This window comes from Homo sapiens, chromosome 10, assembly GCF_000001405.40.
Source record: "Homo sapiens chromosome 10, GRCh38.p14 Primary Assembly".
In the NCBI taxonomy this organism is placed as follows: Eukaryota; Metazoa; Chordata; class Mammalia; order Primates; family Hominidae; genus Homo; species Homo sapiens.
Window position 1 is genome coordinate 72369059 of NC_000010.11, and position 27185 is coordinate 72396243.

The following is a 27185-nucleotide window of genomic DNA, read 5'->3' on the forward strand; positions in this document are numbered from 1 at the left end:
CTTGAGGTCAAGAGTTTAAGACCAGCCTAGACAATATAGCGAGACCCTGTCTCTAAAAATTTTTTTCAAATTAACTGGGCATGGTGGTGGACACCTGTAGTCCCAGCTACTTGGGAGGCTAAGGCAGGAAGATCGCTTGATTACCACCCGGTGATTGCGGCAATCACCAGGAGCTCAAGGCTGCAGTGTGCTATGATGACCACTGCACTCCAGCCTGGGTGACACAGTGAGACCATGTCTCTTGGAAAAAAAAAAAAAAAAAAGAGGTGGGCAGGAGACAGGTCCCCCCAGGGTCTGTATTGCTCCTAAAGGTCTGGCACTTTCTCTTCCAGGCAATGGAACATCAGAAAAAAACTGGAAGCAGGGGAGTAAGAAGCAGGCAGATTTCCATTTTGGACAGATTTTTCTGGCTGGTTGTGTGAGGATGGATTGGAAGGCGGCACACCTGGAATATTGGGGTCAGTTAGGAGACTGCTGCAATAGTCTCTCTGCTGTAATGGAGAGATGGTGAGGGGGTTTCGTGGTGAAAACCAAAATCAAACTTTGGCTTTGGATTGAGCCCATTTTCTCATGGTTTCCTAATCCACCCTCTTCAGTGTCAGAGGGCTGGAAGAAACTTTGGAGAGCATCTGTTTTTTTTTTTGTTGTTGTTGTTGTTTGTTTGTTTTGAGACGGAGTCTTGCTCTGTTGCCCAGGCTGGAGTGCAGTGGCGCGATCTCAGCTCACTGCAACCTCCGCCTCCCAGGTTCAAGCGATTCTCCTGCCTCAGCCTCCTGAGTAGCTGCAACTAGAGGCGCATGCCACCATGCCCGGCTAATTTTTGTACATATATATTTTTTTGAGACGGAGTCTCACTCTGTCACCCAGGCTGGAGTGCAGTGGTGCGATCTCGGATCACTGCAAGTACCCCTCCAGGTTCATGCCATTCTCTGCTCAGCCTCCCAAGTAGCTGGGACCACAGGCACCCGCCATCATGCCCAGCTAATTTTTTTTGTATTTTTAGTAGAGATGGGTTTCACCGTGTTAGCCAGGATGGTCTCAATCTCCTGACCTCATGATCCGCCCACCTTGGCCTCCCAAAGTGCTGGATTACAGGCGTGAGACACTGCGCCTGGCCAAGAGCATCTGTTTTAATTAGAAACCACCCAAGCCACACAGAACAGTAACCACTGTAATAGCAGAGGTACAGTCACCCTTTGCAAGACACCCAGGGGCCTGTTGATTAAAATAATGACACCCATTACTGGTGGTGATAAGATAGCAGGAAACCCACAAACCTACCTCTACTCATGATTGGTCTGGGAAGAGTGTGGTAAGAAGGAATAAATGGTTTACTTCTGTAGAGTACCCAAAACCTAAACTGGCTCATGTTTTCTGGCTGAAGAGAGTATGGGCATCCTCAGAGACAGGAAACCCCCCACAGCAAGACAAAACCCAAAACCAAACCCAACAAAACAAAACCCAAAACCAAAACAAAAAAACACTTGGCTTATTTATATAAAGTACAAAGGTAAAACTGTGTTACTAGAAGTCAGAAAAGTGGTGACTCTTGGGGAAGGAAGTGACTGGAGGTACCAAGTAGGGCTCTATAGTCCTGGTAATGTGATGTTTCTAAATAATGCTGGTTATACAAGTGTGTTCAGCTTTTTAAAAATTTACCAAGCTGTACACTTAAGATATTTGTACTTTAGGCTGGGCACAGTGAGTCACGCTTGTAATCACAGCACTTTGGGAGGCCGAGGCGGGCAGATTGCTTAAGGCCCGGAGTTCAAGACCAGCCTGGCCAACGTGGTAAACCCTGTCTCTACTAAAAATACAAAAAATTAGCTGGGCATGGTGGTGGGCGCCTGTAATTCCAGCTACTTGGGAGGTTGAGGCATGAGAATCATTTGAATCTGGGAGATGGAGGTTGCAGTGAGCAGAGATGGCGTCACTGCACTCCAGCCTGGGTGACAGAGTCAGACTCTGTCTCAAAAAAAAAGAAATTGTACTTTTCCATATATTATATTGCAATATAATAAAAAGTTAAAAAATAGCCTTGCTTGGGCTGGGTGCAGTGGCTCACGCCTATAATCCCAGCACTTTGGGAGGCCGAGACGGGCGGATCATGAGGTCCGGAGATTGAGACCATCCTGGCTAACACGGTGAAACCTCGTCTCTACTAAAAATACAAAAAAAAATAGCTGGGCGTGGTGGCGGGTGCCTGTAGTCCCAGCTACTCGGGAGGCTGAGGCAGGAGAATGGCGTGAACTTGGGAGGTGGAGCTTGCAGTGAGCCGAGATCGCACCACTGCACTCCAGCCTGGGCAACACAGCGAGACTCCGTCTCAAAAAAAAAAAAAAAAAAAGCCTTGCTTGGCTGAAAAGTAATGAATAATTTGGCTTATCAAGAATGTAGGCCGAGGCCAGGCACGGTGCCTCACGCCTGTAATCCCAGCACTTTGGGAGGCCAAGACGGGTGGAGAACCTGAGGTCAGAAGTTCGAGACCAGCCTGGCCAACATGGTGAAACCCCATCTCTACTAAAAATATGAAAAATTAGCCAGGCGTGGTGGTGGGCACCTGTAATCCCACCTACTTGGGAGGCTGAAGCAGGAGAATTGCTTGACCCCGGGAGGCAGAGGTTGCCGTGAACCATGACTGTGCCATTGCACTCCAGCCTGAGCAACAAGAGTGAAACTCCATCTCAAAGAAAAAAATATATATATATAGGCCAAGGTGGGGCATAGTGGCTCACACCTGTAATCTCAGCACTTTGGGAGGTTGAGGTGGGAGTATCATTTGAGCCCAGGAGTTCAAGACCAGCATGAGCAATATAGTGAGACCCTGTCTCTACAAAAAGTTAAAAAATAAGCTGAGCATGGTGGTGCCTGCCTGTAGGCCCAGCTACTTTGGAGGCTGAAGTGGGAGAATTGCTTGAGTCTGAAAGGCGGGAGTTGCAGTGAGCCAACATTATGCCCCCGCACTCCAGCCTGGGCAACAGAGCAAGATGCTGTCTCGAAAAAAAAAAAAAAGAAAAAAATAAATGTAGGCCAGGTGTGGTGGCTCATGCTTGTAATCTCAGCAACTCAGGAGGTCAAAGCAAGAGGACAGCTTTAGGCCAGAAGTTTGAGACGAGCCTGGGCAACATCGCAAGACTCTTTCTCTACGAAAAAATTCAAAAAAATTAGCTAGGTGTGGTGGCATGTGCCTCTGAAGCTACTCAAGAGGTTGAGGTGAGGGGATCACTTGAACTCAGGAGTTTGAGGTTACAGTGAGCTATGATCGCACCACCACACTCCTGCCTGGTGACAGAGCGGGTGTGGTGGCTCACGCCTATAACCCCACCATTTTGGGAGGCCAAGAAGGGAGGACTACTTGAGTCAGGAGTTTGAGGCCAGCCTAGAAAACATAGTGAGACCTCTCTCTAAAAAAACAAAAACAAATTTAAAAAAAAATGTAATTAAGAGAACAGAAAGTTCTAAACAGGATTCTTACACTTTGTATAAAAAGAAGCTTGAGGCCAGGTGTGGTGGCTCATGCCTGTAATCCCAGCACTTTGGGAGGCTGAGGCAGGTGGATCACCTGAGGTCAGGAGTTCAAGACCAGCCTGGCCAACAGGGTGAAACCCTGTCTCTACTAAAAATACAAAAAAAATTAACCGGGTGTGATGGTGGGCGCCTGTGATCCCAGCTACTCGGGAGGCTGAGGCAGGAGAATCACTTGAACCCAGGAGGCAGAGGCTGCAGTGAGCCGAGATCATGCCATTGCACTCCAGCCTGGGCAACAAGAGCTTGACCCCAGGAGGCAGAGGGTGCAGTGAACCAAGATCGTGCTGTTGCTGTTGCACTCCAGCCTGGGCAACAAGAGTGAGCCTCAAAAAAAAAAAAAAAAGAAAAAAGAAAAAGAAGCTTGAAAATGAAAAAATATGAAGTCACTTCATTCAAACTACTATGGGTTTACCTTCTGCTTCCGTAAGGACCACATGACCACTATGAGTGGATTTTGTTACTGTGAACCAGGTCTATAACTGTATGTTATTTGCATGCATGTGTGATTTGTGAGTTCAATTCTAAAATCTGTGATGAAGAAGTCTATTTGAAAATCGAATTCTCCATCCCCTGGCACTTTATTTTGTTTGTTCATTTTTTTTTTTTTTTTTGAGATGAGGTCTTGCTCTGTTGCCCAAGCTGGAGTGCAGCGCTAGGATCATACCTCACTACAGTCTCAAACTCCTGGGCTCAAGTGATCCTCACACCTCAGCTTTCCAGTAGCTAGAACTACATGCACACACTACCACACCTTGGCTAAACTTATTTTTTGTAGCGATGGGATCTCGCTATGTTGCCTAAGCTGGTCTTGAACTCCTGGCCTCAAGTGATCTTCCCATCTCAGCCTCCCAAGTTGCTGGGATTACAGTTGTGAGCCACTCTACAGGCTTTCCTTTGGCATTTTGACCTAAGATCTTGCAGTGGTAAAAATAACAACGGCTTTTTGTTAAGTATACTTTTTCTTTCTAGATTAAGAAAATAAATCTCAGAGATGTTAAATAATTTTCCAAAGGTGATTTAAGTAGATAATGACAGAACCTCTTTCTAAAAAGCTAGAAAATCAAACATCATTTTCCAGGACTTCTAGGGAAAAGGGGGGACTTGAGAAGCTAGTTGCATTTATTCCCATATTTACTTCACAGACCAGGTCTTGGATATTGGCTTCAAAAATTATAAAAATAATAAAAATAAATGTTTTTTGGAAAAAATTTAAACCACCTAGAAGTGATTGGAGTGAAAACAAAAATCTGGAGAAAGTTAATATATGTCTACAGCACTGCTGTGCATTAGAACTCTCTGCGATGTGGGAAATGTTTTATATTTGTGCTATTCAATACAGTAGCCACTAGCTAGTTTAAATTTAAATGTAGCTAATAGCCACATGTGCCTTGGTGGTATCATACTGTGGACAGGGCAGCTCTAGAGAATAAACCCACCCCTACCTGAGAGTGAGGCCATCTCTTTAACCTAGCCCTAGGGCTTCCTTTGAGTTCAACCTTGGTTTTGTAGGTATAGGCTGGAGATTTATTTTATTTATTTAATTGTACTTTTTGAGACAGGGTCTCACTCTGTCACCCAGGCTGTAGTGCAGTGGTGTGATCATGGCTCACTGCAGTCTTGACTTCCCCGCTTCAAGCGATCCTCTCACTTCAGCCTCCTGAGTAGCTGGGACTATAGGCACACATGTGCTACCATGCCTGGCTAATTTTTAAAATTTTTTGTAGAGACATGGTCTTACTATATTGCCCAGGCTGGTCTCAAACTCCTGGGCTCAAACCATCTTCCTGCCTTAGCCTCCTAAAGTGCTGGGATTACAGGTATGAGCCACCACGCCAGGCCAAGGCTAGAGATTTAAATAACTCAAGTTCAACTTAATAACATAAATAATTCAAGTTAATGAACACCTATTATGTGAGAAGTACTATCCAAGGTCCTATGGGGGGTAGGAAGGTGAAAAGGACTTGCAACTACCCTTAAAAAGCTCAGGGAACCATGTTAAGGAATAAAAAAGCCCAGAAGTGATTCTTATGCTGGGACCAAAAGGGAAGCTCCATAGGCTGGAGCTTTTGAGCAGGCTCTTGAATTCCATTAGCCCAGCTTTCTGGAGGATGATGAACAACAAATACTGGCTGTGGGGTAAGAGAGGGTGGTAATATAGTAAATAAAACAGAGGGGGCAGTACAGTTTTAGTTCAAATCCTGGTTTTGCCATCTACTATTATCTTTTTTTTTTTTTTTTTTTTTTTTTTGAGATAGAGTCTCGCTCTGTCGCCCAGGCTGGAGTGTTGTGGCACGATCTCTGCTCCCTGCTGCCTCCCGGGTTCAAGTGATTCTCTTGCCTCAGCCTCTCGAGTAGCTGGGATTTCAGGCACGCACCACTGTGCCTGGCTAATTTTTGTATTTTTAATAGAGACGGGGTTTCACCATGTTGGCCAGGCTGGTCTTGAGCTCCTGACCTCAGGTGATCCGCCTGCCTCAGCCTCCCAAATACTATTATCTTTGTGACCTTAGGAAATCTACTTAACCTCTCTGAGTCTCAGCTTTCTCATCAGTAAAAAGTGGTCAATAACAATACCTAGGTCAGAAGATTAAATGAGCAGATTAACTTTCTGGCTCATAGTAAGCATTGAAAAAGTGTAAGCATCCGTTGTTATTGTTGTTATTAGTATATCAGCTACCATACCTAAAAAATAATGCCAAGGTCAAACCAGAACCAGATCTCTTGAATGGGCTAAATGACAGAGCAGAGTGGCCACAGACACAACAGACCACTGTGTGGAGCTGGAATGCTATGGAGATGGAATGCAACTGGCTGGAATGTGCCCTGGGTGGTGGAGAGATCAGTACTGCCTTCTTTCTAAAGACACTCAGATACCTGAGTGCTCCGTATCCGCTAAGTAGCAAGTTGAGTCTGACATTTTTGTTTCCATTTTTAAGATGCTTATGGTCATAAATTAATTTAGGCCTATAGGCATATTGGAATTATAAGAAGAAGAAATGGAAAACAGAAGCCAGGGCCAGGGGTTCGATTTCTCAGTATCATCATGCCAAGGGCTGAGGTGCTAATGTGAGAAAGGTGGGTAGCTTGAAGAGGATGGGCTGGTACACAGATGCTGTCCGCAAGGCTCCATTATACACAAGGGCCTCTAAGGGCAGCTAGGCTGTTTCCCCTCCGGGCTCCAGAGGGCCCCACTCACCATCACAGTCAAAGAGTGCAAACACCACATCACACACGTGGTCTGAGAGCTCCACTTTAGCCACTGTCCTGGCCACCTGCTGCATGGTCACTGAAAAAAGAAAGAGGTGCATTAGCACAGCAGAGGGATTTTCATTTTGCTTTCTCTGATTCAGGGGATAAAACGACTCAGTCATAATACAAGTTTTCAACTGCATTTAAGTCACATTTAAGAAAATGATAAGTTAGGCTGGCCACAGTGGCTCATGCCTGTAATTCCAGCACTTTGGGAGGCCGAGGAGGGTGGATCACCTGAGGCCAGAACTTCAAGACCAGCCTGGCCAAGATGGTGAAACCCTGTCTCTACTAAAAATACAAAAAATTAGCCGGTGCCTGTAATCCCAGCTACTTGGGAGGCTGAGGCAGAGAATTGCTTGAACCCGAGAGGCGGAGGTTGCAGTGAGCTGAGATCACGCCACTGCTCTCCAGCCTGGGAGAGTGAGACTCCGTTTCAAAAAAAAAAAGAAAAAATGATAATTGAGTTTTTATTCATAAGCTCCCTCCTTTTCACCTCAAGTTCTGTTCTTTTCTACTGCTGCTACAGTTTAGGAGGTATATATAGTTAATTAAGAATGCCTAGGCTGGCCAGGCGCGGTGGCTCATACCTGTAATCCCAGCACTTTGGGATTCCGAGGCAACATGGCGAAACCCTGTCTCTACAAAAAATACAAAAAATTAGCCCGGCATGGTGGTGTGCACCAGCTACTTGGGAGGCTGAGGTGAGAGGATAGCTTGAGCCCAGGAGGCAGAGGTTTCAATGAGCTGAGATGGCGCCACTGTACTGGAGTAACACTCTATGTAACAGAGTGAGACACTGTCTCAAAAAATAAAAAGTGCCTGATATTCAATTTATAGACAGAAAGTAGATTAGAGGTTATTGTGGGCTGAGGGGAATGGGGAGTTACTGCTTTATGTATACAGAATTTCTGTCTGGGGTGATGGAAAAATTTTGAAAATAGTGATGATGGTTGTACAACATTGTGAATGTAATTAATGTAATTCCACTGACTTGTATATTTAAAAATGGTTATAATGGCACATTTTATGCCATATATATTTTTATATTTATATATATATTTATAGAAATATATAAATGGGTGGTGGGAACAAGGAGGCTTGTCTGTGGTGTGAGTACACTAAGGCTTCACGCCTTGGTGGGTGAATGACAGCTAAGTGCCTGCACAGTGAGCCCTCCCTGCCCAACTCTGTCCCTCCTCCCTACTGGTTTTGCACCAGACTTCTTCCAACTGAGCCCATTGGTATATGCACTGGCCCTTGTCTTAACAGTTCAGGATGCGTATCTTTCTTTTTTTTTTTGAGACAGAGTCTTACTCTGTCCGCCAGACTGGAGTGCAGTGGCACGATCTCGGCTCACTGCAACCACTGCCTTCCGGGTTCAAACAATTCTCCTGCTTCAGCCTCCCAAGTAGCTGGGACTACTGGTGCCTGCCATCACGCCTGGCTAATTTTTATATTTTTAGTAGAGATGGGGTTTCACCATGTTGGCCAGGGTGGTCTTGAACTCCTGACCTCAGGTGATCTGCCCACCTCGGCCTCTCAAAGTGCTGGGATTACAGGGGTGAGCCACCACACTCAGCGGGCCCGGCCAATAGTTCAGGATGCATATCTTTCTTTTAAAAAATATATATTTTTAGACCTCAGCAAAAAATCACTTTTCTCTTGCCGTTTTCTCTTTCCCAGACATTCACCGTCAAACACTAGCAATTATGTTAGAATTGGGTTCTCATGAAAGACAAGACAGGAAGGACGAGGCAATTTCCACTGCCTTCTCTCTCATTTATCCTCAAACCTGGTCTAGCTACACCTATAAATCATGTTATTGCTTCTGGACACATTCTTAAGTGAGGTAAAATATGAGGGAAAGAAAAGGATTAATTTCCATTTATGCTGGTAATGAAGAGCTCTCTATAATCATCACATTAGATTCATCCAGAAGCCAAGTGAACTTAAACTAGAACCACTGTGCCTTGTTTATCGCATTCCTATAATTTCAGTTCCTATTATCAGCCCATCTTGTCATTTTTTGCATTTGATCTTTCACTTTGCCTCTATCACCTCCATATATTTACCCGATACGGTTTAGATTTGTGCCCCCACCCAAATCTCATGTCAAATTGTAATTCCCAGGCCAGGCGTGGTGGCTTACACCTGTAATCCCAGCACTTTGGGAGGCCAAGGCTGATGGATCACCTGAGGTCAGGAGTTCGAGACCAGCCTGGCCAACATGGTGAAACCCTGTCTCTACTAAAATAAATACAAAAATTAGCTGGGCGTGGTGGTGCGCACCTATAGTCCAAGCTACTCAGGAGGCTGAGACATGAGAATCACTTGAACCTGGGAGGCGGAGGTTGCAGTGAGCCAAGACTGTGCCACTGCACTCCAGCCTCGGTTACAGAGCGGGACTCTGTCTCACAAAAGCAAAACAAAAACAAAAAAACCCTGAAAATCCAAAAACAAATGGTAATCCCCAGTGTTGGAGGAGGGGCCTGGTAGGAGGTTACTGGATCATGGGGGCAGATTTCCCCCTTGCTGTTCTCATGATAGTAAGCGAGTTCTCATGAGATCTGGTTAAGTGTGTGGCACCTCCCACCTCTCTCTCTTCCTCCTGCTCTGGCCATGTGAGACGTGCCTCCTTCCTCTTCGCCTTTCACCAGGATTGTAAGTTTCCTGAGGCCTCCTCAGCCATGCTTCCTTTACAGCCTGTGGAACTGTGAGCCAATTAAGCCTCTTTTCTTTATAAATTACCCAGTCTCAGGTAGTTCTTTATAGCAATGCAAGAATTAATTAATACATCACCACAGTGCCCCCAACATCAGCAGATGCAAACACTGGAGCAATGCAGAGGAGCAAGGTAATGCGGTAGAAAACAAGGCTTGGAGTAACGGGACCTGGGCTCCAGTTCTGGCCCCACCACCAACGTGCTGTGTGACCCGGATGGAGTCACTTGATCTCTTTAGATTTAATTTTCTCATGTTCAAGTGGAGGGATGCCACCAGACAACTGCTGAGGCGGCTTACTAGCACAAAGAAGGGTTTATTGGTGTCATCTAGAATCTGAGGGTGAGGTTGGGGTGGAAATATCCCATCTTTTCTCCCAGGATCTGAGTTAGGGTGAAGAGGAAATTAACATTCTTTGGTACTAAAAGACTGAAGTATAAGATATTGTGGTGGATATTCATGAGATGTGTGTTGGGAAATCTACAAGACTATAGCGCTCTAGAGTTTAGAAATTTAGCCTCACAAATCTAGATACTTGATTTGGCTCAGGAAAAACTTATTCCTGCTAACTAAACTGTCCACAGAAGGAACAGAAATCAGGCCAATTTGCAATAAGAATAGTAACTGTTAAGAGAACTACAATGATGACAGCTGGTCATTATACTTCTCAGTAGGAAAGCTACTAAGGAAACCCCATTCACCTCAGAAGATTAACCTCAAAAGATTACTCAGTGAAAACAGAATGAGATCAGAAGGAACTGGAAGCGCTTAAACTGTGATTGCCTACAGCTTTACTCTTTGCTGCCACAGAAATGTGTCCTGAGAAGGGGATCGGAACCTGTTCTGTATTAGATAAACATGAACACTTTCTGTTAACCATTCCTTTTTCTGCATTTCACATCAACCTTAAGCTTCTGACTTCCTTTTCTCTTTCCCAGTTCTTCCATTCTCTCAGGGCACAGCCTTCTGCAATTGTCTTGATATTTCAAGTACTCATCTTCTCCCCATGAAGATGGTGCCCTTTCCTGTAAATAAACCATTAATTAAATAATACTCAAGGATGTCAGTGAGAGCTCTTGACAATTTCTAATGAGAGGCTCATTAAATTGGTATTAAGTGGTTGTAGAATAGGGACTTCTGGAGGCCTCCAGCAAGAATGCCTCATTACAGATGCCATCTCTTCACAGAAAGTTATAGATTATGTTCCATCTCACATGGAGAGGGCTCTGGTGTCCTTCCTACCATAGGAGGAAGAACTAGGGCTGCTAAGTTATTGTAGCCCAAACCACTGGGATGTTAGCCAGCAAACAGCCTAGCTGGGGTCCCCTTTCCTGGTACAAGATCCTCATTATAGGCCCCTGGGGTATGAATCAGAGTCGTGCAGGAAGCCAACATTTAATAGCTGGTGAGCTGTCAAACTAGGAGCACCTGGGATGAGTGGGATGACGGCAGATTACAAGCCAAGTGCTTGACAGCTGGTCCTGAGAGTTGGTTCATTCATATTTGCTTCCAATATCTCTGAATCCAGTCATAATCACAGCAAGCAGAACAAGTTTTCCTCCCAGATCTCAACTTTTTTATGCAGACCAGTTGTTGGTACTGGAATTCTGGCCTCCCTATTTGATGATGCTGACTGATGGTTGGGATTCCAGCTCCCAATCTGAAAGATGTCTACAGGGAGCATGAAGGCACCCCAGCGAAGGCCTAGCTTTCTAAATACTACGTATTTTTGTACAAATCTGGCCCAGCTGCCTGAACAAAGGGTTTAAGTGCGATTGGGTGATTCCTATTAGATTGGGATGGGAGAGAATTTGTAGAAGTGGGCTCAACTAGTACTCAAAAATCTGGCACCATCTGGCTTTTTGCAAAGTCCAGGCAGAATCCGAGTTGTGTCAGGTCCCCAATTTACTCTCCAGCATGATTCATGACTGGCTGTTTCAACAGTAAAAAGAAACCCTGAGTTTGTGTGATATAATATCAGAAACTACATACATAAATCTATTCACCACAATAGTTAAACAGAAGAGCTCTGAAGTGATGAGAGCCCAAATGTCCACTTGGAATCAGAGAATCTTAGAACTGGAAGATACCTCAGAGGAAATGTGACGTTAAATAATTTGCCCAGGGTCACAATGCTAGATGGTAACAGAGCTGGGTCTCGAATTTTGGCTGGTGCCCTTTCCCTATACACACTGGGTCCACATGATCCCTTCCATATATGGACAATATCAATTCCTCCATGACATGAATCTGTCACCCTGAGGAGAAAGGGTTTAGATTAAAGAAAAGTCACATGGGAAATACTCAAGTCCTTTTGGTGAGGGATGAATGAATAATTGAATAACTGGGAGTTGTGAGGCACCAGCATTAATTATAGGTTGGCCGTGGATCTGACTACCCCCTACAGTGGAAGACACTGAGTATTCCCTAGGAACTCATACCGACAATTTTAGGGACAACTTAAAAAGTGTATTCAACAGCAATCCAACGAAAAGCACATGTAACGAATGTGGCCCTGGGAGTTTTTCTCCACAGCTGCCTCTGATGCACAGATACAGCTTTAGGCAGCATGACCCAGTTAGGAGCTACCTGCCTCTTCCTAATGCAAAAGTGTTTGGAAAGGTGGTATGACAAGTTGGGCTGACAGTCTCTAAGCTGTGTGGCCATGTACTATTCCTGCCTTACCGGACTGCAGTGGAGAAAATCAAAAGCTGACTGGTGATGGCCAAGGTTAAGTGAGGGGAGATGGTTCTGCTTCAGCCCTGGAAAGGCTGATGCAGATGTCTTGTTTTCTTAAGTCCATCCCTAGATGGCTTTGGGTGGAACAAGGGGGAGGATATTTCCTTAAAGAGCATGTGTCCTGTCTTTTGTATCTCCTTCCATGAGCTTTTGTTAATACAAATGCACATTTTAACCTAGTTCTGGGGTGAGGGGAGGGGAAACGACAACATTTAGGAGAACTAGCAATTTAAGGAGCCAAGAGCAATGCAGCCTACAAGTAATGGAAATGATAACAATTCCTTGTTCTGTACGGTGCTCTTAGGCCCTATGCCCGCTGACCCCCTGTGTACTCAGGCTGCCTGACTGTCAGAGGTGATGCTGCTAATCCTAGCTCCTAACTTCCAGGACACACCACGGAGAAGATCTGTTTTCTGAGCCTGAGCGCATCATCCCAGATGATGGCTTCAATGGGCTTACACGCTTAATTTGGTACAAACTAACTTGGCAGTAAGATTTATTGCCATTGTCTAGTATTGTATCTGGGTTTATTAAAAATCCCCATCACATCTTTTCCACAAAGGGCTAGCATTTCTGCAAGCATCATTAGGTAGTCAATGATTTCAGCTGACACACCCATGGGACAATCACAGTTTGGTGGAGGAGACTGTGTATATATATATCTATACACACACACACACACACACACACACACACACACACACACACATTAAGATGGAGAAACACGTAGAAGAGACAGATATCAGATATATTAATACACACATATGGGAAATAATGGAATAGTGTGTATTTGGTACGAGTTACATTTTGGATCTGAATTCTTTTTTTTTTTTGAGACAGTCTTGCTCTGTCGCCCAGGCTGGAGTGCAGTGGTGCGATCTCGGCTCATTGCAACCTCGCCTCCCGGGTTTAAGTGATTCTCCTGCCTCAGCCTCCCTAGTAGCTGGGATTACAGGTGCCTGCCACCACGTCCGGCTAATTTTTTTTTTTTTTTAGTAGAGACAGGGTTTCGCCATGTTGGCTAGGCTGGTCTCGAACTCCTGACCTCAGGTGATCCACCCGCCTTGACCTCCCAAAGTGCTGGGATTACAGGCATGAGCCACCGCGCCTGGCCTGTATCTGAATTCTAAGGGAGAAAAGAGACCAACTGCGCATGTATGGTAGTGAGTGATGTGGGTTGGGGGTTTCTGTTTGAATACAGTATTAAAAGCAGGAAGGAGTGCTAAGGCCTGATTAGAGAGTTAGAACAGAAGGTGCAGGGGGTGAGTACATTAGGAGAAATCTTACAGAGGACTAGTCAAGTCTCCTTGCAAGAAAGTCTTTAAAACAGGCCAAGTGTGGTGGCTCACGCCTGTAATCCCAGCACTTTATGAGGCCAAGGCAGGCAGATCACCCGAGCTTAGGAATTCAAGACCAGACTGGCCAACATGGCGAAACCCCGTCTCTACTAAAAATACAAAAATTAGCCAGGCGTGGTGGCACATGCCTGTAATCCCAGCTACTCAGGAGGCTGAGGCAAGGGAATCACTTGAACCCGGGAGGCGGAGGCTGCAGTGAGCCAAGATCACGCCACTGCACTCCAGCCTGGGCGACAGAGCAAGCCTCCGTCCAATAGTAACTTGCTTTTCCCTCTCACATTGTTTAAATATTCATTCTGTTAGCTTTATTTTAAAAGTTGTTTTTAATTAGGACAGGTGCAGTGGCTCATGCTTATAATCCTAGTGGTTTGGGAGGCCAAGAATGAGACCAGCCTGGGCAATAGAGGAAGACCTCATCTCTACGAAAAATTTTAAAAAACATTAGTTGGGCACGATGGTGCGCTCCTGCAGTCCTAGCTACTTGGGAAACTGAGGTGGGAGGATTACCTGAGCCCAGGAGTTCAAGTCTGCAGTGAGCTATGACTGCACAACTGTACTCCAACCTAGGCAACAGAGCAAGACCCTGTCTCAAAAAAAAAAAAAAAAAGATGTTTTTGATTCGCTAATATAGTCATCTGCTTCAAAATTTGAATGGTACAAAAGGGGTGAAGTCTCTCTCCCAACCTTATACCCCAGTCACCCAGTCATTCAGAGACAATCAATGTCACTAGTTTCCCCAGAAATATTTTGTAGATATAAAATCAAATATGTACTCTTCGCTTCTTCCCTTTTCCCACAAAATGGTGGTGTACTAAATATTGTTTTGCTTTACTCACTTAACAACATATCTTAGAAATAATTCCAGATGGACATGAGCAGCTTCCTTCAATAGCTGCATAGTATTCCACTGACAGGATGGATCATAATTTCCTTGTTTATTTAACCAGTTCCTTATTTATTCTTATCTCAATCTTGAGAAGAAGGTACCTTTTCCCCTTCTCTTTAAAAAATTATTTCCTTTGTGGTCTGTGGGGGTCAGCTATAACAGAGTCTGAATCTCTGATGGCTAAACTGAGAGTAACTGATATATTTAAATTCAGTTTGTTGAAATTAAAGACTAAATAGTCACCTTTACAAGTGTCTTTTTTGTTTGTTTTTTTGAGACAGGGTCTTGGTTCTGTTGCTCAGGCTAGAGTGCTGTGGCAAGATCATGGCTCACTGCAACCTCTGCCTCCTGGGCTCCTGATTCTCCCGCCTCAGCCTCCCTAGTAACTGGGACTACAGGTGTGGATTACCACACCTGGCTAGGTTTTGCATTTTTAAACAATTTTATTAAAAAAAAATTTTTTTTTAATTGAGACAGGGTCTTGCTCTGTTGCTCAGGCTGGAGTGCAGTAGTGAGGGCACAGCTCACCACAGCCTCAACATCCTGGGCTCAAATGATCCTCCCGCCTCAGCCTCGGAAGTAGCTAGGACTACAGGCTCGCGCCACCATGCCTGGCTAATTTTTGTATTTTTTTGTAGAGATGGGGTTTCACCATGTTGCCCAGGCTGGTCTTGAACTCCTGGGCTCAAGCGAACCACCCACCTTGGCCTCCCAAAGTGCTGGGATTATAGGCTATGAGCCACTGGGCCCAGCCACAGTGTCTTATTAAACCTTCCGAGGCTTCTCAAGGTAGTAAACCTTGAAACCCCCAAAGAAGCAATGCTTATAATAAATACTCCCTCTACACTTTCCCGATATTGATGTAATTCTAGTAATCATTCTTTTTCTGATCTTTTTCTCAGTGGGATGTAATGTTGGCTGATTTTGTCTTTCCTTATCTATTTATGTGGATGCTTTAACAGTTTATCCTACCCCCATCTCTTCTCTTTGTGATGTAATTCATGATGGTAATCATGAATCCCTAAAGCAGCTCTCCTCCTCCTTAGGGCACTTACCTAATTTTACTAAATCATAATATATTCAAAGTGATCATAAGCCAGAATCAATCTTTAGAATTGCTAAGTGACTTTAAATTTGGGAAAATAAACCAGGCCTCTGCAGAGAAAATGCCTCATAAAGCAAACATTTATTTCAGAATTTGAGCTTCCTTGCCTACATCATGAATAATTTTACTTTAAAAATTGATGACTCTGTCTTAAATGAATGGAATCCTGGCCAACACTCCTCTTCACATATAAATGTTTTTACCAAATGTAATGATGAACTGAAGTGCAAGAGCTTGCCTCCCACAAACTTTAAAAGAATTTATAAAATAGGAGCTTTTTTCCTGTTGTAATCTCTTCCTTACATGTCTTTGTGACACTCCTGCCTTCCTGCCATGTCTTGGCTGTCTGGGGGATGCTCTCCCTACATTCTTGCTGTGAATTTGCCCCACTTTCCGGCATCACATAAAAGCATTGAGTCCTCGATGTAATTCTCTAGGTCCTTCTAGCAGCAGTAGGTGCCAGGGTACTAATGAGAACCCTGGTGTGGAAGTCGCTGAACCTGAACTTCTGGTCTGTGATTTCAGCAAGTCATTTCCCTTTATGAATGTTAAAAACAAGCAGGCCGGGCACAGTGGCTCACGTCTATAAATCCAACACTTTGGGAGGCCGAGCTGGGCAGATCACCTGAGGTCAGGAGTTCAAGACCAGCCTGGCCAACATGGTAAAACCCTGTCTCTACTAAAAATATATAAATTAGCTGGGCGTGGTGGTGTGTGCCTGTAATCCCAGCTAACTGGGAGGCTGAGACAGGAGAATCACTAGAACCCAGGAGGCGGAGGTTGTAGTGAGCTGAGATCATGCCACTGCACTCTAGCCTAGGTGACAGAGCAAGACTGTCTCAAAAAAAACCAACCAAACAAACAAAAAACCAAAAAACAAAGTAAGGGTTTAAACAAAATGATTTTTAAGTTATCTTCCAGCCCTAAAATTTAAATCAGTTTAAATGTCCCTATCTTCAGAATAATAAAACCAAAGGTGTAGGTTTCTAAAATGATGGCTGGTGTGCTGAGCAGAATTCTGACGTGCCCCCCGCCCAGTATTTCCACCCTCTGGTCCACATATCCTGTGTAATCCCCTCTCCTCAGGTGGGCAGAACCTGTGACTACGATAATCCTGTGATGAGGTTACTGTATATGAGAAAGGTGATGGGCTAGTCAGTCCCATAACTATGTTATGTAAGAATCCATCTTAGCAGACTGAGGCGAGAGATTCTGTTGCTGGCTCTGAAGAAGTGAGTTGCCATGCTGTGAGGGGCCTGGTGGCAAGGAGCTGTAGTCACCTGCTGAGAGCAATGACTGGCCAACAGCCAGCAAGGAAAAGGAATCCTTGGTCCTACAACTGAAAGGACCTGAATTCTGCCAACAGCAGGAAAGAACTTTGAAGAGGACCCTGAACTCCGGATGAAAATGAAGGCCCCCCAACAACACTGCGATTTCATCCTTGTTAAGATCCTAAGCAGAGAACCCAGCTATGCTGTGCCAACACTCTGAATCACAGAAACTGGCCAGTGGGGAAGGCATTTATGATTGGGAATGTCTTTTTTTTTTGGAGGGGGACGGAGTCTCGCTCTGTCGCCCAGGCTGGAGTACAGTGGCGTGATCTTGGCTCACTACAACCTCTGCCTCCCGGGTTCAAACAATTATCCCACCTTAGCCTTCTGAGTAGCTGGGATTACAGGTGCCCACCACCACACCAGGCTAATTTTTGTATTTTTAGTAGAGACGGGGTTTCCCCATGTTGGCCAGGCTCGTCTTGAACTCCTGACCTCAGGTGATCTGCCTGCTTTAGCCTCCTAAAGTGCTGGGATTACAGGCGTGAGCCACTGTGCCCGGACAAGGGACTATCTTTTTGAAGTTCCTCAACTTCTACGTTATATAGAGCCGCACTCATCCCTCATCCCCCGCCACCTATTTTTTTTTTTTTTTTTTTTGATACAGTGTCTCATTCTGTCACCCCGGCTGGAGTGCAGTAGCATGATCATAGCTCACTGTACCCTCAACCTCCTGGGCTCAAGAGATCCTCCTGCCTCCGCCTCCTAAGTAGTTGGGACTAGAGGTGTGTGCCACCATGCCTGGCTAATTTTAAAGTATTTTTTGTAGAGACAGAGTCCCACTGTGTTGCCTAGGTTGGTCTGGAACTCCTCAGCCTCCCAAAGTGCTGGGATTACAAGGTTGTGCCACTGTCCCTGGCCTGCACTCATTTTTTGACAGAGTGCACTTTACAGAACCATCATTCTGTTTTACCTACTATACCAAACTCCATAAATTAGATCTTACAGGGAAACTAGCCAAGGTCTAATTAAGTTTTACATTTCCTAACAAGGAAATAAATTAAAACTGCCACACTTCTTTTGGGAATTCAAGTCTTGCTCTTACTTCAAATGTACCTGACAATTATAAGTCAGTTCACTTTCATAAAGATTTCACATAAACAAGTTGGGCTAACAGTCCCTGTGAGGCAATAGATTTGGAAATAATTTTAGGCTATGACATGTCACTTAAAACATTACTTCATTCAGTAAAAAGCGGATTTAGTTATAATCATACAATTTCAAATCTGCATGAACCCTTAGAGATACTTATAACTCCAACCTGAGGGTCAGAGTAGTGACCTGCTCAAGGAGTCAAAGGAAATTAATGACATGGGAAGGTGCTACAGTCCTAACACTCTTCCCCTCACCCTACGCTCTTACTAGAGTATTTCATCATCCTTTGCAGGATCTGGAAAGGTCTAGAATTAATTCATTTACATAACATAAACGAACATCTGTTTATATAAAGAGTTGTTCTAGGCTCTGAATAGCACACAAAGTTGTAGAAAACATGGTTCAAGTCTTTGAGAATTTACAGTCTAATGAATTCCCCCTTGAATGCTGAAGATATGAGACATATCAATAGGGGTTAGATATTCCTAGGAACAGAGAACTTTTTTAATAAAGGCTTCTGAAGGCAGAGACACCAATAATTTTTGGATGAATGATGAAACTTAGGAGAACCTAGAAGCTTCAATCCTCATTAATGAGTATAAACAACTTAGAACTTCTAAGCTAATAAAAATGTCAAAAGTGACTAAAAAAAAGCAGTAGATTCCACTTCCTCAGAGAACAAAGAGCCTTATCTGGTGCTTTTTTTTTTTTAAGGATGATTTAAAAAAAAAAACACTTTTTATGATGTTGCCATGTTGGTATAGGTTGTTTCCAGCCCCCTAATAAGATAAACAGGCAGAAGAAAGCCAGCACCTATGGGTTGAAAACCAGAACAGGCAGTTTGGTACAATTTTAATGTCAACCTAGTATATTAATATAGTATTATCTCTTTTTATTTTCACAATAACCCTGAAACAAGTATTCTACTATCACCATTCTACAGATCTGGAAACTGAGGCTTTGAGAACTTAAGGAATTTGTTCAAGGTCACAAAACTAGTGAATAGCGGGGACTCAAACTCAGGTTTGAACTTAAAACCAAAATTTATATTCAGCACAATTTCTTGCATATAGTTAACGCTCAATAAATGCTAGATGTTAGAACAGTATCTAAAAGTGCAACAGAGCACTGGTATACCAATGAGCGGAGGTGGTGAGGAACACCTTGGTCATTGGAAGGTGTATCTATATCCTGTATTTTGATGTTGAGAAAAGCGCAGCTTAGCATACATGCCTTTTTCTGGTCTGTGGTATCCCTTAAAAGGATATCAACTTTCTTGCTACATGACTTTATTTAAATAACTTCAGGCTTTTGTGTATTGGTTTCCTCAGTGAAAAGTAATATGGTTCCAAAGGTAAAGATCACAGATGTGTCTACTAAGGCGTTCCTATGCAGGACAAGAAGCTAGATTAGACAACTCCAAGAGTCTGTTATTGTAAGGTAAGGACTATGGATGTCTGTGTCTGAGCTGTAGAACCTATACCTGAACAGAACAGACAATTGTAGGGGAAAAAAAGGTCACATTTCATATTCAAGAGAAGGGCACTATCTCTAAAACATCATAGTTTATCAAAAGGACTTCATTCTCACCCTAAGAATGGTCAACTCTTAGCCAAAAGCAACTGGGAAAAAAAAGTCCAGAGTCTGTCTTCCCAATGCTACTGTGAAGCATGGTTTGAAATGGTAAAGCCACAGTCCCCTCTGGATTGTGCTTCAGCAAAGCTTTTCAGACTCTAACAGAATTGTGGAGTATACTGAGAGGCAACACGACGATGTGGAAAGAACACAGACTGGGAATTAGAGAGACCTGAGCTTGAATCCTGGCTTTTCCACCACTAAGCTGGATAACCACGATCAAGTGGCTTCATTTGATATTTTCCTCATCCATAAAGTGAAGATGAATGAGGATAATTCAGGTTTTAAAGATTAAAAGCGATAACATGCATAAAGCACTAAGCATTGTGCCTGGCACAGAGAAACTACTATGAAATGAGAGTTGCTGTTAGTGTTCCAGATGTGTGATGGCCTCACAGTCCTGGACAGGACAGTGCTACCGGATTATTACAGTTCAGGAGTGGGTGGCAGCTTGTCTGTTAAAGACAGTTGTTCAGAATATAAGAGTTTGTTGTGTGCTAGAAATTGCTGACTCCATCAGTAATTTCTGACTTCCCCAACAATCCAGTTAGAGCCTAAATGACAAAAGACTTGAGGCTCCCTTACTCATTCCAATTATTAGACTCAAAGAATTTGAAAGCTGCAAAGGTTCTCAGAGGTCATCTCTGCCATCCTTGTCCCTCCAGAGACAAAAGAAACTGAGACCATTTGAAGATGTGACTAAAACTTCAGAAAAAATACTTGGGGTTGCAGAAAGCTCCTGTAGGAGTTATGCCATAGATTTTATTATTTGTTCTTTTGGCTTGTCAGATAATAAGGTAAACTGCACGTATAGAATAACTACAAAGAATCAAGGCCAACTATGCCATAAATTATAATTTTCAGTGTAAGTAGAATTGTGCAGGGGCGTGAATAGTAAAGACCAGGGACTATATTTGTGTGATTATTTTCTGATTTTATAGTTCAAAGTACACCGAGGACGTAACTGAACCCACAGGTTTACTGCATCTGTACTATCCTGAGGTGCTTTACAGTGGAGCTTTATTGTACCTGGATATTCTCCTGGCAGAAATTGGAATATTCTGAGTTATATGGGCTGAAGCTCACTCTAGAGCTCCAGCTCAAATAATTTCTAACTTTTTCATCATAGAAAGCCATTGGGAAAGGAGTCATGTTCAATTTTCCATTACCTTCTTCAGCAGACCACTTAAATCAATCAGCCAGCCGCTGAGAGGTCATAGATCTAATTTTATGCCCAGTGTGCGTACGAATGAGCAATAGAACCAGTTCTTCTTAAGTGCTAAACGAAGAGACGCCTGATAGTGGAGACACACAGTATTTCATGGAGAAAGGTTCTTTCTTCAGATGGTTAGAACTCTTGAAAACACTTCATTATTACCTGATGGTTGTTACTCTCACATGGGTCATGCAGAACTAAAGAAATAGCCTTAATTAAATTTGATGTTTTTTTCAAATGGTAGGAGGGGCAAACAGAAAAAATGAAAAAAAGAAAAAGAAAAAAAAGAAATGTGACATTTTTTACTCTGGAGGAACTGGACTATGTTCTAATACAGTAAATCTGCAGTGGCCACCTGCCTGGATCTTTCAAATTATTCCAAGGAACATTAACTCTGTAAGTTATTAAAAGATGGTCTGGAGTAAATCAAATTTGGAAACTATATCCCTCTTCCAGAGATTAATAATGCACCTTCATATATTAAAAAGTTGGCAGCAGGAGTGCTGCAAGAAGAAATTCTATATAACTCTGGCATTTTCCAAACTTATTTGAACCATGGAATACTTTTTTTTTTCTTTTTAAATCCACAGAACCATCATCATATTGCAGTATACAGTGTTCTTCACAATGCTGTTTGGAAAATTCTGTGCTAAATTATGCCTAAAGACTGGTTTGTAACCTCTAAAATAGCCAAGGAAGAGACAGTGCCAGGGCCTAGAAGGTGCCAATTTCTGAAGGTTCTAACCTTTTGGGAAAAAATGAAGACAGCTGAGACTCACAGCAGAAGCCAGATAAAAAGTATTCCTGTCTCTACTCTGGCCTCACTCTTTCCCAACCACTGGTATAAATTAGGGCCTCCACTTTTAAGCTCCTAGAACCTCTTATTCTAATTAGCACTTATCACACCCAACTGGAACTGCTTCTACACTTATCTTTCTCCCCCATTAGACTCTGAGCTTCTTGAGGGTGGAACCCTGTGCCTAGCACAGTACCTATTGCTTTTGGGTGAATAAATACTTGAGCCACACTAAATTTTGTTTAAATTATCAACTTCATAATAGAAGCAGCTGACATTGACTAATCGTTCACCACATGACAGCCACAAAGTTAAGTGCTTTATGTAGATTTAGTCTCACAACCCTATGAGGTGGGTCCAGTTGGTCCTTCATATGTGTAGGTTCCACACCCATGGATTCAACCAGCTGCAGATCAAAAATATTTAAGAAAATGTCGGGTGCAGTGGCTCACGCCTGTAATCCCAACACTGGGAGGCCAAGGCGGGTGGATCACCTGAGGTCAGGAGTTCAAGACCAGCCTGGCCAACATGGCGAAATCCTCTCTCTACTAAAAATACAAAAATTAGCTGGGCATGGTGGCAGGCACCTGTAATCCCAGCTACTTGGGAGGCTGAGGCAGGAGGATCGCTTGAATCTGGGAGGCGGAGGTTGCAGTGAGTCGAGATCATGCCACTGCACTCCAGCCCAGCCTGGTCGACAGAGCAAAACTCCATCTCAAAAAAAAAATAAATAAATAAAATAAAATTTAAGAAAAGAAAACCAGTAGAAAGTAACAACACAGCAATAAACTATTACAAATTTAAAAATACAGCATAACAACTATTTACTTAGCATTTACATAGTAATAGGTATTATATGTAATCTTGAGATAATTTAAAGTACAGTTGGCCCTGGAACAACACAGGCTTGAACTGCATAGGTCCACTTACGTGCAGATTTTTTTTTCAATAAATTACGTTGGAAAAATTTTTGGAGGCTTATGACTATTTGGAAAACCTCATAGATGGACCACACAGCATAGACGTACCAAAAAAATTAGGAAAAATGTATGTAGTGAATACATAAAAAATATATAGATACTAGTTTATGTGTTAACTGACTGTATGTTATCAGTAAGCCTTTTTTGGTCAACAGTGGGCTATTAGTAGTTAAGTTTTTGGGGAGTCTAAAGTTATCCTAGGATTTTCAACTGTGTGGGGTGAAAACAGCTAATCCCTCACTGTTCAAGGGTCACCCGCATCTAGTGCTCGTCCGGCAGCACATATACTCAAACTGGAATGATTTGGAGAAGATTAGCATGGCCCTTGTGCAAGGATGACACACAAATTCGTGAAGTGTTCCATATTTTGATGATGATTTAAAAATAAAGAAATAAAGTATATGGAAAGATATGTGTAGGTTATATATAAAAATACTATGCAACCGTTTCACATATGGGACTTGAGCACCCAAAGACTTTGTAACTCTGTGTGTGTGTGGCGGGGTCGGGGGGTGGAGGCGGTCCTGGAACCAAACCCCTGAAGATACCAAGGGACAACTATTTTTATCTTTATTTAAAAAACACAGAGGGCCAGGCACAGTGGCTCATGCCTGTAATCCTAGCACTTTGGGAAGCTGAGGTGGGCGATCATTTGAGGTCAGGAGTTCAAGACCAGCCTGGCCAATATAGTGAAACCCCCATCTCTGTTAAAAATACAAAAATTAGCCAGGTGTGGTGGCATGTGCCTGTAATCCCAGCTACTCAGGAGGCTGAGGCAGGAGAATTTCTTGACCCTGGGAAGCAGAGGTTGCGGTGAGCCAAGATTGTACCACTGCACTCCAGTCTGGGTGACAGAGTGAGACCCTGTCTCAAAAAAATTAAAAAAATAAAATAAACACAGAAACTAAGTTCAGAAACTGCTCAAAGCTACCCAGCTAGTAAATGATGGAGACATTCAAATTCAGGCAGTCTGACTTCAGAACTTCTGCTCTTAACCATTACACATTTCTTCCTCTTTTCTAAGATTCATCTCAGCAGTAAAATTCCTTTGTTCTGTGGAGCAAGGAGGAGAGGCCTGTCATTCATGTAGAACTCAAACCAATGGAAAGAATCACTAGTCCGGGTCAGGAGGAGGGAGGTTTAAAAGCAAAGGCCTGGGCAGAGCCCAAGGAGTGCTTGTAAGAGACAGGGACATCTGGGAGCATGGAAGGATTTGGAAAGGCTAGCTGAGTGCATGCTAGTCTTCTGTGCACACCTCAGCAGGTGAACAGTTAAAATTACTACTATCATCACCTCTTTTACATGGAAGAAGGTGAAACATATGTCAAGTCCAAGGATGAGGGTTACAGAAGAACATGATGAGTTTGTTCCCTGGGCTGCTGGGAAGGGTAGAAGGGTAGAGGTTTATGTCTTGTTCAGATATATCAATATGTTCATTCACTCATTCATTTGTTGACTATATAATTATTGAGTTCTTCCTCTATCCCAAGTGTTGTTCTAGGCACATGGAATACATCCATGAGCAAGACAGATAAGCATTCTAGTAAGGTGCAACAAATAATAAGCAAACACATAAACCTGAGAAAATATCAGGGAGTGATAAATGCTATAAAAAATAGGATAATATGATACAGGATGATGGAACTACTTTAGAATGAAAAGGTCTTCCCGAGGAAATGACTTATACCAGACCTAAGTTACAAGGAGCTAAATACATGGAGATCCCAGGCAAGAGCGCTTGAGGTAGAAACAACCGATACAAAGGCCTTAACTAACTCCAATAGCTAAGGCCTTCAGTAAGCTTGGTGTATTTGGAATGTGAAAAGAACAATGTGGAGTGGAGTGAACTGGGAAAAAAACGATATTTTATGAACTCAGAGAGTATACAGGGGCCATGGCATAGGTAGCCCTGTGTAAAGCCACAGTCAGTAAAGAGGCGAGGGCTGTGGTAGGAGAGCGAGAAAAGGAGGCAGATGCAGGGTACGTTCTGGAGGTAAACTCAAGGATTTATTGAAGAAGTAAATATGTGAGTGAGACTAAGGAATCAAGGAAAGTACCTATTTTGTTTGTTTGTTTGTTTGTTTTGAGACGGAGTCTTGCTCTGTCACCAGGCTGGAGTGCAGTGGTGTGATCTTGGCTCACTGCAATCTCCGACTCCCTGGTTCAAGCGATTCTCCTGCCTCAGCCTCCTGAGTAGCTGAGATTACAGGTGCCCGCTGCCACTGCACCCGGCTAATTTTTGTATTTTTAGTAGAGACAGGGTTTCACCATGTTGGCCAGGATGGTCTCAATCTCCTGACTTCAAGATCAGCCCACCTTGGCCTCCCAAAGTGCTGGGATTACAGGTGTGAGCCAAAGAGCCCAGCTGATAGTGCCTATTTTTTTGAGCTCCTGAATATTTGAAGAGTAATTCAATTAATAAACATCTATTGGCTGGGCATAGTGGCTCATGCCTGTAATCATGCCTGACTTAGAGCCCAGCTGGATAATCTAGGATGATCTCATCTCAAGGACCTTAACTTAATTATATCTGCAAAGACCCTGTGTCCAACAAGGTCACAATCACAGGTTCTGAGGACTAAGATGTAGACATATCCTTTTGGGGGCCACCACGTAACCCACTACAGCAACCAAGAATTAAAAATTACCCATATGAGGCTGGGCCCCTGTAATCCCAGCACTTTGGGAGGCTAAGGCAGGTGGATCACTTGAGGTCAGGAGTTCATAACCAGCCTGGCCAATGTGGTAAAACCCTGTCTTTACTAAATATACAAAAATTAGCCAGGTGTCGTGGCACATGCCTGTAATCCCAGCTACTGGGGAGGCTGGGGCAGGAGAATCACTGGAACCCAGGAGGCAGAGGTTTCAGTGAGCTGAGATCACATCACTGCACTCCAGTCTAGGTGACAAAGACTCTGTCTCAAAAAGAAAAAAAAAAAACCCACCCATATGTAGTCTACAAAAACAAAAGCAAACAAAAAATGTGAATTTAACTATTACAATACCAACCACTATAATCCTAGCACTTTGGGAGGCCAAGGCAGAAGGATCCTGTGAGACCAGGAGCTCAAGACCAGCGTGGTCAACAGTGAGACCCCATCTCTGTTTTTTAAAATAAACAATAAATGTAAAAAAGAAAAATTAAATGTATCTATCTGTTAACAGCCTAATTTTTTTTCTTTTAGAAACCTAACTATCTGGCCAGACATGGTGGCTCACGCCTGTAATCCCAGCACTTTGGGAGGCTGAGGCAGGCAGATCACGAGGTCAGGAGATTGAGACCATCCTGGCTAACATGGTGAAACCCCATCTCTACTAAAAATACAAAATTTAGCTGGGCGTGGTGGCGGGTGCCTGTAATCCCAGCTACTTGGGAGGCTGAGGCAGGAGAACGGCATGAACCCAGGAGGCGGTGCTTGCAGTGAGCCAAGATCATACCACTACACTCCAGCCTGGGCAATAGAGTGAGACTCCATCTCAAAAATTTTTGTATTTTCAGTAGAGACGGGGTTTCACCTTGTTAGCCAGGATGGTCTCGATCTCCTGACCTTGTGATCGGCCCAATATGGTGAATCCCCATCTCTACTAAAAAATACAAAAATTGAGAGGGGTGTTCCAAGATGGCCAAATAGGAACAGCTCCGGTCTGCAGCTCCCAGTGTGATCGACACAGAAGATGGGTGATTTCTGCATTTACAATTGAGGTATCTGGTTCATCTCATTGGGACTGGTTGGACAGTGGGTGCAGCCCACGGAGAGTGAGTCGAAGCAGGGCGGGGCGTCGCCTCACCTGGGAAGCACAAGGGGTCAGGGGATTTCTCTTTCCTAGCCAAGGGAAGCCATGACAGACTACCTGGAAAAATGGGACACTCCCACCCAAATACTGTGTTGTTCCCAAGGTCTTAGCAACCGGTAGGCAAGGTGATTCTCTCCTGTGCCTGGCTTGGAGGTTCCCATGCCCACGGAGCCTTGCTCACTGCTAGCGCAGCAGTCTGAGATTGATTTGCAAGCCAGCAGCCTGGCTGGGGGAGGGGCATCTGCCATTGCTGAGGCTTGATTAGGTAAACAAAGCAGCTGGGAAGCTCAAACTGGGTGGAGCCCACCACAGCTCAACAGGCCTACAGCCTCTAGACTCCACCTCTATGGGCAGGGCATAGCTGAACAAAAGCCAGCAGAAATTTCTGCTGACTTAAATGTCCCTGTCTGACAGCTCTGAAGAGAGCAGTTGTTCTCCCAAGATGGCATCTGAGCTCTGAGAACAGACAGACTGCCTCCTCAAGTGGGTCTCTGACCCCTGTGTAGCCTAACTGGGAGACAACTCCCAGTAGGGGCCGACAGACACCTCATACAGGCGGCTGCCTCTCTGGGAGGACGCTTCCAGAGGAAGGATCAAGCAGCAATATTTGCTGTTCTGCAGCCTCTGCTGGTGATACCCAGGCAAACAGGGTCTGGAGTGGACCTCCAGCCAACTCCAACAGACCTGCAGCTGAGGGACCTGACTGTTAGAAGGAAAACTAACAAACAGAAAGGAATAGCATCAACATC

General features: G+C 43.9%; 1 protein-coding gene and 1 pseudogene across 24 annotated transcripts in view; one reads left to right on the forward strand and one right to left on the reverse strand.

The window, feature by feature from the left end:
* Positions 1–27185, reverse strand: part of MICU1 (mitochondrial calcium uptake 1) — a 258740-nt gene that overhangs the window by 1719 nt on the left and 229836 nt on the right. For 20 of the 24 annotated variants that reach the window (NR_199810.1, NM_001441228.1, NM_001441226.1 and 17 more), the window contains one exon: positions 6725–6814. The exons of 1 other annotated variant lie outside the window; for it this stretch is intronic. Coding sequence is in view for 20 of the 23 variants with exons in the window: in NM_001441228.1 (NP_001428157.1) it covers positions 6725–6814 (90 nt within the window). In the remaining 3 variants the exon portion in view is untranslated. Of the gene's footprint in view, positions 1–6724; positions 6815–9373; positions 10526–27185 lie in introns of those variants that run through there. 3 more of the 24 variants (NR_199811.1, NR_199809.1, XM_047424440.1) reach the window with 3 other exon arrangements.
* On the forward strand, positions 22906–23011 carry RNU6-805P (RNA, U6 small nuclear 805, pseudogene; annotated as a pseudogene).